The sequence below is a fragment of the Homo sapiens genome, chromosome 15 (assembly GCF_000001405.40).
Source record: "Homo sapiens chromosome 15, GRCh38.p14 Primary Assembly".
Taxonomy (NCBI): domain Eukaryota; kingdom Metazoa; phylum Chordata; class Mammalia; order Primates; family Hominidae; genus Homo; species Homo sapiens.
In genome coordinates this window covers 49,211,143-49,225,143 of record NC_000015.10, presented here as the reverse complement: position 1 = coordinate 49,225,143, position 14,001 = coordinate 49,211,143, and the positions used below count along the sequence as shown (strand labels likewise).

At 37.9% G+C, this 14,001-nt stretch overlaps 1 protein-coding gene across 17 annotated transcripts in view, besides 1 other annotated feature; it reads right to left on the bottom strand.

The window, feature by feature from the left end:
• GALK2 (galactokinase 2) overlaps window positions 1-14,001 on the bottom strand; it is a 211,967-nt gene that overhangs the window by 142,597 nt on the left and 55,369 nt on the right. For 16 of the 17 annotated variants that reach the window (NR_147895.2, NM_001001556.3, NM_001352048.2 and 13 more), the window contains one exon: window positions 7,831-7,954. Coding sequence is in view for 13 of the 17 variants with exons in the window: in NM_001001556.3 (NP_001001556.1) it covers window positions 7,831-7,954 (124 nt within the window). In the remaining 4 variants the exon portion in view is untranslated. Of the gene's footprint in view, window positions 1-7,830; window positions 7,955-14,001 lie in introns of those variants that run through there. The other variant, XM_047432351.1, reaches the window with a different exon arrangement.
• Window positions 13,245-13,445: a silencer, noted in NCBI's record as "peak2332 fragment used in MPRA reporter construct". NCBI's record gives its function as "represses an SCP1 promoter by STARR-seq MPRAs in K562 erythroleukemia cells {active_cell/tissue: K562}" and the evidence as "EXISTENCE:reporter gene assay evidence [ECO:0000049][PMID:32103011]".

Here is a 14,001-nt window from a genome sequence, read left to right as displayed (position 1 = left end):
GAACAGACCTGCTGAGAGGGTCATCTGTCTCCCCCTACCCCACTATAGACCACTACTGCAAATGCACTGAAATACAAAAAAAGCTGTGAAGCTGATTAAGAGCCTATCTGCTGGCCACCACTCTTAAGCACCATTTACTGGATCACATCCCAAATTAAAACACCAAAAATAATCTGCCAATATACATCACTTGTGAAACCAGGGGCAAGAATCTAGCCACAAATAAAGATCCTGTACAGAGCCTTGGCCCTCTGAAAGCAACCAGAAATGAAGCCAATTGACTATCCTCCATTTAAACCACAGTTAAAAGAACACCACTTCTCTCAGAGGAGAATCAGTGAAAAAACTAAAGTAAAAGGAAAAAAATTGGAGTTATCACATTACCCAACTTCAAATTATACTACAAGGCTATAGTAACCAAAACAGCATAGTATTGGTACAAAAACAGATACACAGACATAGACTTATAGAACAGAATAGAAAACCCAGAAATAAAGCTGAACACCTACATCCATCTGATCTTCCACAAAGTCAACAAAAACAAGCAATGAAGGAAGGGCTCCCTATTCAATAAATGGTGCTGGTATAACTGGTTAGCCGTATGCAGTAGAATGAAACTGGACCCCTATCTTTCAGCATATATAAAAATTTATTCAAGATGGATAAAAGATTTAAATATAAGACCTCAAGCTGTATGAATCCTAGAAGAAAACCTAGGAAATGCTTAGAATTTGGCCAAGATTTTATGGCTAAATCTCCAAAAGCAACTGTGATAAAAACAAAAATTGACAAGTGAGACCTAATTAAAGAGGTTCTGCACAGCGAAAGAAACTATCAACAGAGTAAACAGATAACTCACAAAATGAGAGAAAATATTCACAAACTATGCATCTGACAAAGGTCTAATATCAGAATCTGTAAACATTGTAAACAAATAAACAAGCAAAAAACAAATAATCCCACTTAAAAATGGGCAAAGTATATGAACAAACACTTCTCAAAGGAAGACATACAAATGCAAATCAAAACCACAATGAGATACCATCTCACTCCAGTCAGAATGGCTATTATGTAAATGTCAACAAGAAACAGATGCTGGCAAGGCTGTGTAGAAAAAGGAATGCTTATACACTCTTGGTGGGAGTGTAAATTAGTTCAGCCACTGTGGAAAGCAGTTTGGAGTTTCCTCACAGAACTTAAAACAGAACTACCATTTAACCCAGCAATCCCATTACTGGGTATATACCCATAGGAAAATAAATTATTCTAAAAAAAAAAAGACACATGCACTCATATGTTCATTGAAGCACTATTTACCATAGCAAACACATGGAATCAACGCAGGTGCCCATCAATGGTGGGCTGGATAAAGAAACTGTGGTATACATACACCAGGGAATACTATGCAGCCATAAAAAGGATGAAATCATATCCTTTGCGACAACATGGATGCAGCTGGAGGCTATAGTCCTAAGCAAATTAACACAGGAAGAAAATCAAGTACTGCTGCATGTTCTCACTTATAAGTGGGAGCTAAATATGAGTACACAGGGACATAAAGATGGGAACAATAGACACTGAGGACTAGTAAGCAATGGCGGGGGCAGTAGGGAGGCAGGAAGTGTGGGCTGAAAAACTGCCTATTGGCTGCTATGCTAACTACCTGGGTGATGGGATCATCTGTACCCCAAACATCACCATTACAAAATGTATCCAAGTAACAAACCTGCACATGTAACCCCTGAATCTAAAATAAAAGTTGAAATTATTTTACTGAAAAAATACAAAGAATCAAGAAAATGGAAAGTTGATTATTTGAAAAGAAGAACAAAATTGATAAACTGCTAGCCAGATTAACCACGAAAAAAAGTGAGAAGACCCAAATAAACAAAATCAGAATCAAAAAAGGACATTACAACTGATACCATGGAAATACAAAAGCTTATCAGACACTGTTATGAACAACTATACTATACACAAACAAACCAGAAAACCTAAAGGAAATTGATAAATTCCTAAACACACAACATACCAAGATTAAATCAGGAAGAAACAAAAAACATAAACAGACTAGTAACAAGTACCAAGATTGAAACAGTAAAATGAAAAGGCTTCCAACAAAGAAAAGCCCAAGACTGGACAGCTTCACTGAAAAATTCTACCAAACTTACAAAGAACAAATACCAATCCTCTTCAAACAATTCCAATGAATTGAAGAGAAGGGAATTAACCTAGTCCCAAAAGGCAAGCATCACTCTGATGCTAAAATTAGAGAAAGGTGTAACAAAAACCAAAACTGCAGGCCAAGATCCCTATTTACATATATGTAAAAATCTTCAACAAAATTGCCGCAAACTGAATCCCACAGCACATCAAAAAGATAAAACACCATGATCAAGCGGGATTTATCCCAGGGATGCAAGGATTGTTCAAGAAACACAAATCACTAAATGTGACACATCGCATCAGTAGAATAAAGGACAGAAACCACATAATCATCTCAATAGACATAGAGAAAGCATGTAATAAAATTCAACATCCTTTCACGATAAAAACTCTCAATTATCAGGCATAGAATAAATATACCACAACACAATAAAAGTCTCATATGACAAACCCACAGCTAACATCATATCAAATAAAGAAAAGTTGAAGCCTTTCCTGTAAAACCTGGAACCCAAAAAAGATGACCAATATCACTACTCCTAGTCAACATAATACTAGAAATTTTAGCCAGAATAATCAGGCAAGAATAAAAATAGAAGGATCCAAGTTGAAATGGAGGAAGTTAAATTGTCCTGTTTCACAGGTGACATGATTTTATATCCAGAAAAACCTAGACTCTAAAAAAAACTCTTACACCTAATAAATAAATTCAGTAAAGTTGCAGTATAAAAAACCAACATACAAAAATTTGCAGCATTTCAATACATCAATAATGAACTAGCTGAGAAAGAAATTAAGCCAGAAATGCTGTTTATAATAGCTACAAAAAAAAATACCTAAGAATAAATTTAACCAAGGAGATGAAAGATCTCTAAGGAAAACTAGAAAACACTGATGAATGAAATTGAAGAGGACACAAACAAATGAAAAGACATCCCATGTTCATGGATTGGAAAAAATTAATATTGTTAAAATGAACATACTGCCCAAAGCAGTCTACAAATTCAATGCAATCCCTATGAAAATACTACTGTCATTTTCACAAAAATAGAAAAATATCCTAAAATATGTATAAAACCAAAAAAAAGAGCCCAAATAGCCAAAGCACTCCTGAGGAAAAAGAACAAAGCAAGAGGGGTCACGCTATCTGACCTCAAAATATATTATAAGGCTATAAAAACCCAAACAGCAAGGTATTGGTATCAAAACAGACACAAGTAATAATGGGACAGAAGGGAGAACCCAGAAATACATCCATGTATGTACAGCAAACTCATTTTCTTTTTTTTTTAATTTTTTTATTTTTTTCAAGACAGAGATTTTGCTCTTGTTGCCCAGGCTGGAGTGCAGTGTCACGATCTCGGCTCACTGCAACCTCCACCTCCTGGGCTCAAGCAATTCTCCTGCCTCAGCCTCCTGAGTAGCTGGGATTATAGGCACGCACCACCACACCCAGCTAATTTTTTGTATTTTTAATAGAGACAGGGCTTCATCATGTTGGCCAGGCTGGTCTCAAACTCCTGACCTCAGGTGATCTGCCTGCCTCAGCCTCCCAAAGTGCAGGGATTATAGGCATGAGCCACCACGCTCGGCCAGCAAACTCATTTTCAACAAAGGTACCAAGAAAATACATTCAGGAACAAACACCCTCTTGAATAAATGGTGCTGGGAAAACTCAATACCCATATGCAGAAGAATGAATTGAACCCCTATTTCTCACCATATACAAAATTCAATCCAAGATAGGTTAAAGACTTAAACATAACACCCACAACTATAAAACTACTAGAAAGAAATATAGGGGAAACACTTTAGGATATAGCCAAAGATTTTATGACTAAGATCTCAAAAGTACAGAAAAATAAAACAAAAATAGATAAATAAAACTATTTTAAACTAAAAAGCTTCTGCCCACATAGGAAGCAATCAACAGAGTGGGGAGACAACCTGTTGAATGGGAGAAAATATTTGCAAACTATTCATCCAACAAGGAACTAATATCCAAAATATACAAGGAACTCAAAACACTCGATAGTAAAAACTAGTAATAATCCCATTTAAAAGTGGACAAATAACATGAAGAGACATTTTTCCAAAGACATACATACAAATGGCAGATAGGTATATGAAAACTGCTTACCATCACTAATCATCAGCAAAATGGAAATCAAAACCACAATGAGACATCATCTTACCCAAGTTAGAATGGCTATTACTAATAAGACTAAAGAAAACAGATGCTGGTAAGGACACAGAAAAAAGGAAACACTTATACACTGTTGGTGAGAATGTAATTAGTGCAGCCATTATACAAAACAGTAGGGAGATTTCTCAGAGCACTAAAAACACAACTACCATATGATCCAGCAACCCTAATACTGCGTATTTATCCAAAGGAAAAGAAATCAGTATATCAAGGGGATACCTGCACTCCATATTTATTCCAGTACCATTCACAATAGCAAAGATAGGGAATCAACCTAAGTGCCCACCAACAGATGAATAAATAAAGAAAATGTATATATACACAATGGAATACTACTCAGCCATAAAAAAAATAAAATCATGTCATTTGCAGCAATGTGGATGGAATAAGCCAGGTACAGAAAAACAAACATCAGATATTCTCACTCATATGTGGGAACTTAAAAAACTGATCTCATGAAGGTACAGGGTAGAATAATAGATAATAGAGGTGAGGAATGGTCAGTGAACGGGGGATAAAAAGAGGTTGGCAAATAGGTAAAAACATACGGTTAGATAGAAGGAATAAGTTCTAATGGTCTATAGCAGAGTAGGGGGACTATAGTTATCAACCATGTATTGTATATTTCAAAATACCTAGAAGAAAGGACCTGTAATGTCCCAACACAGAAATGACAGAACAAGACTCTGTCTCAAAAAAAAAAAAAAAAAAAAGACTTGTATCTATAAGAAACTCAAAAATAGGGAAATGATTTGAGAAGACGCTTCAACAAAGAATATATCTAGGTAGCAAATAAGTAGATGAAAAGATGTTCAACATCATTAATCAGAGAAATTTAAAAACTTGAAATATGCTACTACACATTTATGAGAATAGCTAAAATTTTAAGACATGTTAGTAACACCACTGGTGAAAATGTAAAATTATACAACTTTGGCAAGCAGAAAATATCTTTTTTTTTGAGACAGAGTCTCGCTCTGTCACCCTGGCTGGAGCGCAGTGGCGCAATCTTGGCTCACTGCAACCTCCACCTCCGAGGTTCAAGTGATTCTCCTGCCTCAGCCTCCTGAGTAGCTGGGATTACAGGTGCATGCCACAATACCCAACTAATTTTTTTGTATTCTTAGTGGAGACAAGCTTTTGCCATGCTGCCCAGGCTGGTCTCGAACTCCCAGGCTCAAGAGATCCATCCACCTCAGCCTCCCAAAATGCTGGGATTACAGGCGTGAACCACCGTGCCCAGCCAGAAAATTTCTTTAAAAGGCTATATTAGTTCATTTTCATGCTGCTGATAAAGACATACTTGAGACTGAGCAATTTACAAAAGCAAGAGATTTAATGAACTTACAGTTCCACATGGCTGCGGGAGCCTCACAATCATGGCAGAAGGCAAGGAGGAGCAAGTCACGTCTTATATCAATGGTGTCAGGCAAAAAGAGAGCTTGTGCAGGGAAACTCCCATTTTTAAAACCATCAGATCTCATGAGACTTATTCATTATCACAAGAACAGCATGGGAAAGACTTGCCCCCATGATTCAATTACCTCCTACCAGGTTCCTCCCAGGACACGTGGGAATTGTGGGAGTTAAAATTCAAGATGAGATTTGGGTGGGGACACCACCAAACCATATCAAAGGCAAACCAGGACGGATGCAGTAGCTCAAACCTGCAATCCCAGCACTTTGGGAGGCTGATGCAGGTGGATCACTTGAGGTCAGTAGCTTAAGACCAGCCTGGTCAACATGGTGAAATCCCATCTCTACCAAAAAATACAAAAATTAGCCAGGTGTGACGGCATGTGCCTGTAGTCCCAGCTACTCCGGAGACTGAAGTGGGAGAATCTCTTGAACCTGGGAGGCAGAGGTTGAGTTGAGCTGAGATCGCCCCACTACACTCCAGGCTGAGCAACAGGGTGAGACCCTGTCTCAATAAATAAATAAATGGCAAACCAGACACTCCAATCATAGGTATTTACCCAACAGAAATGAAACATATGTCCACACATATATTCGTACATAAATATTTGTAGCAGTATTATTCATACAGGCAAAAACTGGGAATGATCTAAATGTCCATTATTGGTAAACAAACAAATTAAGATATACTTACACAATGAATGCTAAAACAAATGGACAATTCTAGGAGGCATACTGCATGCTTCCTAGGGGTCCTGGTAGAATCAAGCCTCCTGCCTCTAGCAGGGACTATATGTCTTGATAATTCACCTCTAATTGCCCAACTCATTCTTCATGCTCTTTCCTACTGCTCCTGGGACCATTTCTCAAATATACTACCTTCATCCAGGTCTGTCTCAGGATCTACTTTTGTGAAAAACGAAACTGAAACCACATATTCATTATTGTGGGAATGATTAAGTAAATTTTACTAAATCAAGATGACAAAATACTATGCACCGATTTTTAAATGTTCATACACAATGACACGAAAATATGCTTGACATAATGTGAGCTTTTCAAGGGTCCAAAATGCACACAAGATATATTATCAAACATGCGAAATGAAAAGGAAAAAAAGATCTTCTACAGTAAGTTCCATATAAAAGTAAAAAACTTCTACGTCTTGCACAAACTGGTATAGAGTCTTATCAAAAATATTTTCCGAATACATGAATGTTATTGCAGATAAACTAACCAATGAACAAGCCAAACATATAATATGCCAAATACAAGCCAAAATCTTTTTCTGTAATTATCAAGTCAAATCCATTATAATACATTAGAAGCAAGTAGAGTTTATCCCAGAAATGCAAAAAGGGCTCAACATTAGAAAATTCGTCAGACTAATTCACCATATTTTTAAAAAAACTGATCTTCAATTCTAAATAGACATTTAATTAAATTCAATACCCATTAGTAAACTTTTTTAATCTTAGCAAACTAAGATTTTTTTTAAAGACTTTGTTAACTTGATAAAGCATATGTACTAGAAACTTACCTCTATTAGGCACCAGACTCTGTTTTATATGCTAGGGCATTGAAGAAGAGAGGCAACAATGCCTGAAGTCACAGAGTTTACAGTCTACTGGGTGACACAGGTAAATAAACAGATAATAATAATACAGCATAATAATATGCTATGACAAGATACTTAGAAGGTGCCATAGTAACATAGGAAAACATCAGACCTGACTTTGCTGGAGATAATTAGATCAATAGATGATAAGTACCTATCGGACAAGGACAGAGTTATTTATCTTTGTATCACCTGGTATCTAAGACTATGTCTAGCACATGATAAGTCTTTGATAAATATTCCTTAAATGAATTGACAAATGAACAAAATGAACAATAAATAATGGCCTTAGAATTTTTTTAATGTCAGACACAAAATATCAATAAGTTAAATGACCTGTTACAAATTTGATGTCTCCTAAAGAGTTCATTTGGGTACAAACAGAACCATACATACACACACACTAACAATTTTAAATACTCACGGATACAAGGGATTTGTATTGGCCAGTTGGAGAGCGTACGTTTTCACAGGTTCTACAGCTATTAGCACATCTTGTTCTACAGCCATAGGAAGAACAGAATATCCACAATAATCTATATGCTCTCCTAGAAAAAAGAGAAAGCTTTTTTAATCATTGCTAATATATAAAACAAAAGCACCTCAAGAAAGTTTACATACAGGAAAAAACTGACCATGAGCCAGGTTTTAACAGTAAATAAAAATAAAGGGAAGCAGAGCAAGATGGCCAAATAGAACCCTTCCATGATCTTACACCAAATTGAGCAACTATCTATGCAATAAACACCTTCATAAGAACCCAGAAAATTCAGGTGAGTACCTGAAAATCACAGTACCTGGTTTTAACATAACATCAGGGATAGAGGAATTGAAGAGGACAGGAAAGACAGTCTTGCATTGCCTACAGGATCCCTTCCAGCATGGACAGAGAAACTGTGTTTGGGGGAGGGAGGGTGAAGTGAGTGTGGGTCTTTGCACTGGAACTTAGTGCAGCCATGTTACAGAAAAACACAAAACAGCAGAACTCTGCTAGCACCCAAGGAGGGGGCATTTAGATCAGCCCTGGGCAAGACAGAATTCTCAATCTCAGCAGGAGGAACCTGAGTCCCAACCAACCTCACCTCTGGCTAACTAAACTGGCCTAGTGCCCAGAATAAGCTTAAGTGGCTGTCAGGCCACAAGTACTGCAGTCCTCGGGCAAGCCCTGGTACTGCACCGGCCTTGGAGGCAGTAGACTTGTGATGTGTGACCAAGTGTGACACCAGCTGTGGCAGCCAGGGGAGTGCCTGATCGCACTGCACCCAACTCCAGGAAGTGCAGTTTGGGGAGAGATTCCTTTAGCTTAAGGAAAGAAGTGGGAAGAGTACAGAAGACTGTCTTGCAATTTGGGTACCAGCTCAGTCGAAGTAAAGCACCAAGGAGATTCCTGAAGCTGTCAATTCCAGGACTTAGTTCCTGGACCCACTCTCATTCAGAGGGAATCCACTGCCCTGAAGAGAAGAACCCAGTCTTGGCAGGATTCACCTGCTCACTAAAGATCCCTTGGGCCTTGAATAAACATCAGCAGTAACCAGGCAAGATCCAGTATTATACAGGCTTCAGGTGTGACCTAGCACAGTGCCAGCTGTGGAAGCCATGGAAGTGCTCTAGGCAGCCCAGTATGGAGACAGACTACTTCTGACTGGGAGGAGTAAAGGGAAGATATCAAGAGGACTTTGCCTGACAACCCAGGGAATTCTCCTTTACCTTACCCAAACTCGTCAAGGCAGTGCCTCTAGATGTCAGGAAGAATTGCAGCATTCCTGGGCTTAGAGCACCTCCTTGTGCCGATATGCCCATACGGACCACAGGCTTAGAGCACAACACACTCAATCCCATTTGAATACATGAAAAGCCTTCTCAAGAATGAAGGGTACAAACAAGCCCAGACTACACAGACAAATAAATATCTAATTTGTCAATGCCCATAAGTGATGAATGTCCACAAGCATCAAGAGTATCCAGGAAAACATGACCTCATTAAATGAACTACAGAAGACACCAGTGACCAATCCCAGAAAGATGGAGATGTATGTCCTTTCAGACAGAGAATTCAAAAGAACTGTCTTGAGGAAGCTCAACAAACTTAAAGATAACACAGGGAAGAAATTCATTATTCTACCAGAGAAATTTAACAAAGAGATTAAAATAGTTTTTGAAATTTCAAACAGAAATTCTGCAGCTGAAAAATTCAACTGGCAAACTCAAAAATGTCTCAGAGTCTCTCAACAGCAGAATCGATCAAGAAAAATAAATAGTGAACCTGAAGACAGGCTATATAAAAATACACAGTCAGAGGAGAGAAAAGAGAAATAATTTTAAAAGAATGAAGCCTCTCTACAAGATCTAGAAAATAGCCTAAAAGGGGCAAATCTAAGAGTTATTGGCTTTAAAGAGGATGTAGAGATAGAGAGATCAGGGTAGAAAGTTTATTCAGTGAAATACTGATAGAAAACTTTCCAAACCTAAGAAAAGATATAAATATTAAGGTATAAGAAGATCACACAACACCAAAAGGATTCAACCCAAATAAGACTAACTCAGTTAATATATTAATCAAACTCTCAAAGGTCAAGGATAAAGAAAGTATCCTAAAAGCAGAAAAAGAAAAGAAGCAAAGAACATATAAAGGGGCTCCAATATGTCTAGTAGGAGACAACTCCGCAGGAAACTTAGAGGCCAAGAGAGAGGGGGATGACATATTCAAAGTGTTGAAGAAAAACAACTTTTGAACTAGAATATTATTTCCAGTAAAATTATCCTTCAAACATGAAAGAGAAATACTTTCCCAGACAAACACAGCTGAGGGGTTTCAACAACACCAGACCTGTCTTGCAAAAAATGTTAAAGAGAGTTATTCAATCTGAAAGAAAAGCACATTAATGTAAAAAAATATATATCACATGGTGGTACAGAACTCACTGGTAGTGGTAAATGAACAGATGAATGAATACAGAATACTCTAACACTGTAACTATAGTGTTAAAACACTCATATCTTAGTAGGAAGATTAAAAGACAAACCTATCAAAAATAGTAACTGAAACAGCTTTCTGAGCATAAAAAGATATAAACAGAGACAATCAAAAGTGACAAAGCAGCCGGGCATGGTGGCTCAAGCCTGTAATCCTAGCACTTTGGGAGGACAAGGCAGGAAGATCACGAGGTCAGGAGATCAAGACTATCCTGGCTAACATGGTGAAACCCCATCTCTACTAAAAATACAAAAAAAAAAAAAAAAATAGCCGGGTGTGGTGGCAGGTGCCTGTAGTCCCAGCTACTTGGGAGGCTGAGGCAGGAGAATCGCTTGAACCCGGGAGGCAGAGGTTGAAGTGAGCCGAGATCACGCCACTGTATCCAGCCTGGGTGACAGAGTGAGACTCCATCTCAAAAAAAAAAAAAAAAAGTGACAAAGTGAAGAAATGGGGTTAAGGTAAAGTTTTGGGGGGTTTTTTTGTTTTCTTTTTGCTGATTTCTTTTTTATTTTCATTGTAATCAGAGTTAAGCTGTCATCTGCTTAAAATAATTGGTTATGTTATTTGCAAGCCTCACAGTAACCACAAAACAAAAACCTGTAACAGATACAAAAAAAGTTGGGTTTTTTTGTTTGTTTGTTTTTGAGACAGACTCTTGCTCGGTCGCCCAGGCTGGAGTGCAGTGGCATGATCTCAGCTCACTGCACGCTCCACCTCCCGGGTTCATGCCATTCTCCTGCCTCAGCCTCCTGAGTAGCTGGGACTACAGGCACCCGCCACCATGCCCAGCTAAATCTTTTTTTATTTTTTAGTAGAGATGGGGTTTCACCGTGTTAGCCATGATGGTCTCGATCTCCTGACCCCATGATCCACCCGCCTCCACCTGCCAACGTGCTGGGATTACAGGCGTGAGGCACCATGCCCAGCCCAAAAAAAGTTTTAAATAATAAATTAAAACATTGTCAGAAAAAGTCACTTTTACACAAAGGAAGACAAGAAGGAAGGAAGAGAGGACCAACAAAACAACCAGAAAATAAATAACAAAATGGCAGTAGTAAGTCTGTACCTTATAACTATAACATCGAATATAAATGGACTAAATTCCCAATAAAAGACAAAGTGGATGAATGGATTATAAAAACAAAAACAATAAGCTAACCTCATCAATAAAGACATGCAGACCAAAAAAAATAAAATAAAATAGAAAAAGATATTCCGGAACACACACCAGGGCCAATTGTGGGGTGGAGGGGAAGGGGAGGAAGAGCATTAGGACAAATAGCTAATGCATGCGGGGCTTAAAACCTAGACAATGGGTTGACAGGTGCAGCAAACCACCATGGCACACGTATACCTAGGTATCAAACCTACACATTCTGCATTTATATCCCAGAACTTAAAGTAAAATTTTTTAAAAAAGAAAAAGATACTCCATACAAATGAAAACCAAACGAGAGCAAGAGTAGTTATGCATAAATAAACAGGATTCAAGATAAAAACTATAAAAAGAGACGAAGGTCATTATATAATGTCAAAGGAGTCAGTTCAGCAACAGGATATAACAATTGTAAATATATGTGCACCCAATGCTGGAGCACTCAGATATGTAAAACAAATATTATTAAAACTAAAAAGAAGGATAGATGCCTATAGAATAATAGCTGGGGATTTCAAAACCTCACTTTCAGCCCTAGGGTATTTATCCAGGGAGAAAATCAACAAAGAAACATCAGACTTAATCTGCACTATAGAACAAATGGATATTTATAAAAACATTCCATCCAACAGCCCCAGAATACACATTCTTCTCATCAGTGCCCAGAATATTCTCCAGGATAGATCTTAAGTTAGACCACAAAACAAGTCTCAAAAAGTTCAAAAAAGTTAAAATAATATCAAGTAACTTCTCTGATCATAATGAAATAAAATTAGAAATAAACATGAAGAAAAACTTTGGAAACTAAGCAAACACTTGGAAAGTAAAAAATATGCTCCTGAATGACCAGTGGGCCAATGAAAAAATTAAGAAATTTTTAAATTTCATGAAACAATTGGGAGTGAAAAGACAACAGATCAAAATCTCCATGATACAGAAAGAGCAGTACAAAAAAGCACATTTAAAACAATAAACACCTACATCAAAAAGGTAGAAATATGTCAAATAAGCAACCTAAAGATGAATCTTAACAAATGAGAAAGGCAAAAGCAAATGAAATGCAGAATTAGTAGAGGAAAAGAATTCGGATCAGAGCAAAAATAAGTAAAATTGAAATTTAAAACTACAAAAAAAAATCAATGAAATTAAAAGTTGGTGTTTTGCAAACATAAACTAAATCAAAAAACCTTTAGCCACACTAAGTAAAAAAGAGGCCAGGTGCACTGGCTCACACCTGTAATCCCAGCACTTTGGGAGGGGAGGCCAAGGTGGGCAGATCACAAGGCCAGGCGTTCAAGACCAGCCTGGCCAACAGGGTGAAACCCCATCTCTACTAAAAATACAAAAATTATCCAGGCATGGTCGTGGACACCTGTAATCCCAGCTACTCGGGAGGCTGAGGCAGGACAATCACTTGAATCTGAGAGGTGGAGGTTGCAGTGAGTTGAGATAGCGCCACTGCACTCCAGCCTGGGCAACAGAGCGAGACTCCATTTCAAACAAAAAAGAAAAAGTAAAAAATAAAGAAGATTCAAATAAATAAAGTCAGATAATTTTTTTTAAAGATATTATAACTGATAGCAGAGAGTCAAGGCATCATTAGAGACTATTATGAGCAACTATATACCAACAAATTAGAAAACCAAGAAGAAAGGGATCAATGCCTAGACCCATATGATATGGCTTGGATCTGTGTCCCCACCCAAATCTCATGGTGAAATGTAATACCTAATGCTGGAAGTGAAGCCTGGTGGGTGTTGATTGAATCATGGAGGTGGTTTCTAATGGCTTAACACAATCTCCTGAGTGTGGTTCTCATGATAGAGTTCTCATGAGATCTGATCATTTAAAAGAGTATAGCACTTCCCCTCCCTCTCGTCCTCCTGCTCTAGCCATGTACGGCGTGCCTCCTTCCCCTTTGTCTTCCACCATGCTTGTAAGTTTCCTGAGGCTTTCCCAGCCATGCTTCCTGTACAGCCTGCAAAATTGTGAGCCAATTAAACCTCTTTTTTTAAATAAATTATCCAGTCTCAGATACTTCTTTATAGCAGTGCAAGAGCAGATTAATACAGAAAATTGGTATCAGAAGTGGGGCATTGCTATAAAGATACCTGAAAATGTGAAAGCACCTTTGGAACTAGGTAAGTGGCAGAGGTTGGAACAGTTTGGAGGGCTCAGAAAAAAGATAGGACGATGAGGGAAAGTTTGGAACTTCCAAGAAACTTGTTGAATGGTTGTGTCCAAAATGCTGATAATAATATGAACAATGAAGTCCCAGCTAAAGAGGTCTCAGATGAAAATACAAAACTTTTTGAGAACTAGAGTAAAGGTCACTTTTGTTATGCTTTAGCAAAGAGTCTGGAGGCATTGTGCCCCTGCTCTGGGGACCTGTGGAACTTTGAACTTGAGAGTGATGATATCTGGTGAAAAAAATTTCTAAGCAGCAAAGCATTCAAGATGTAGTC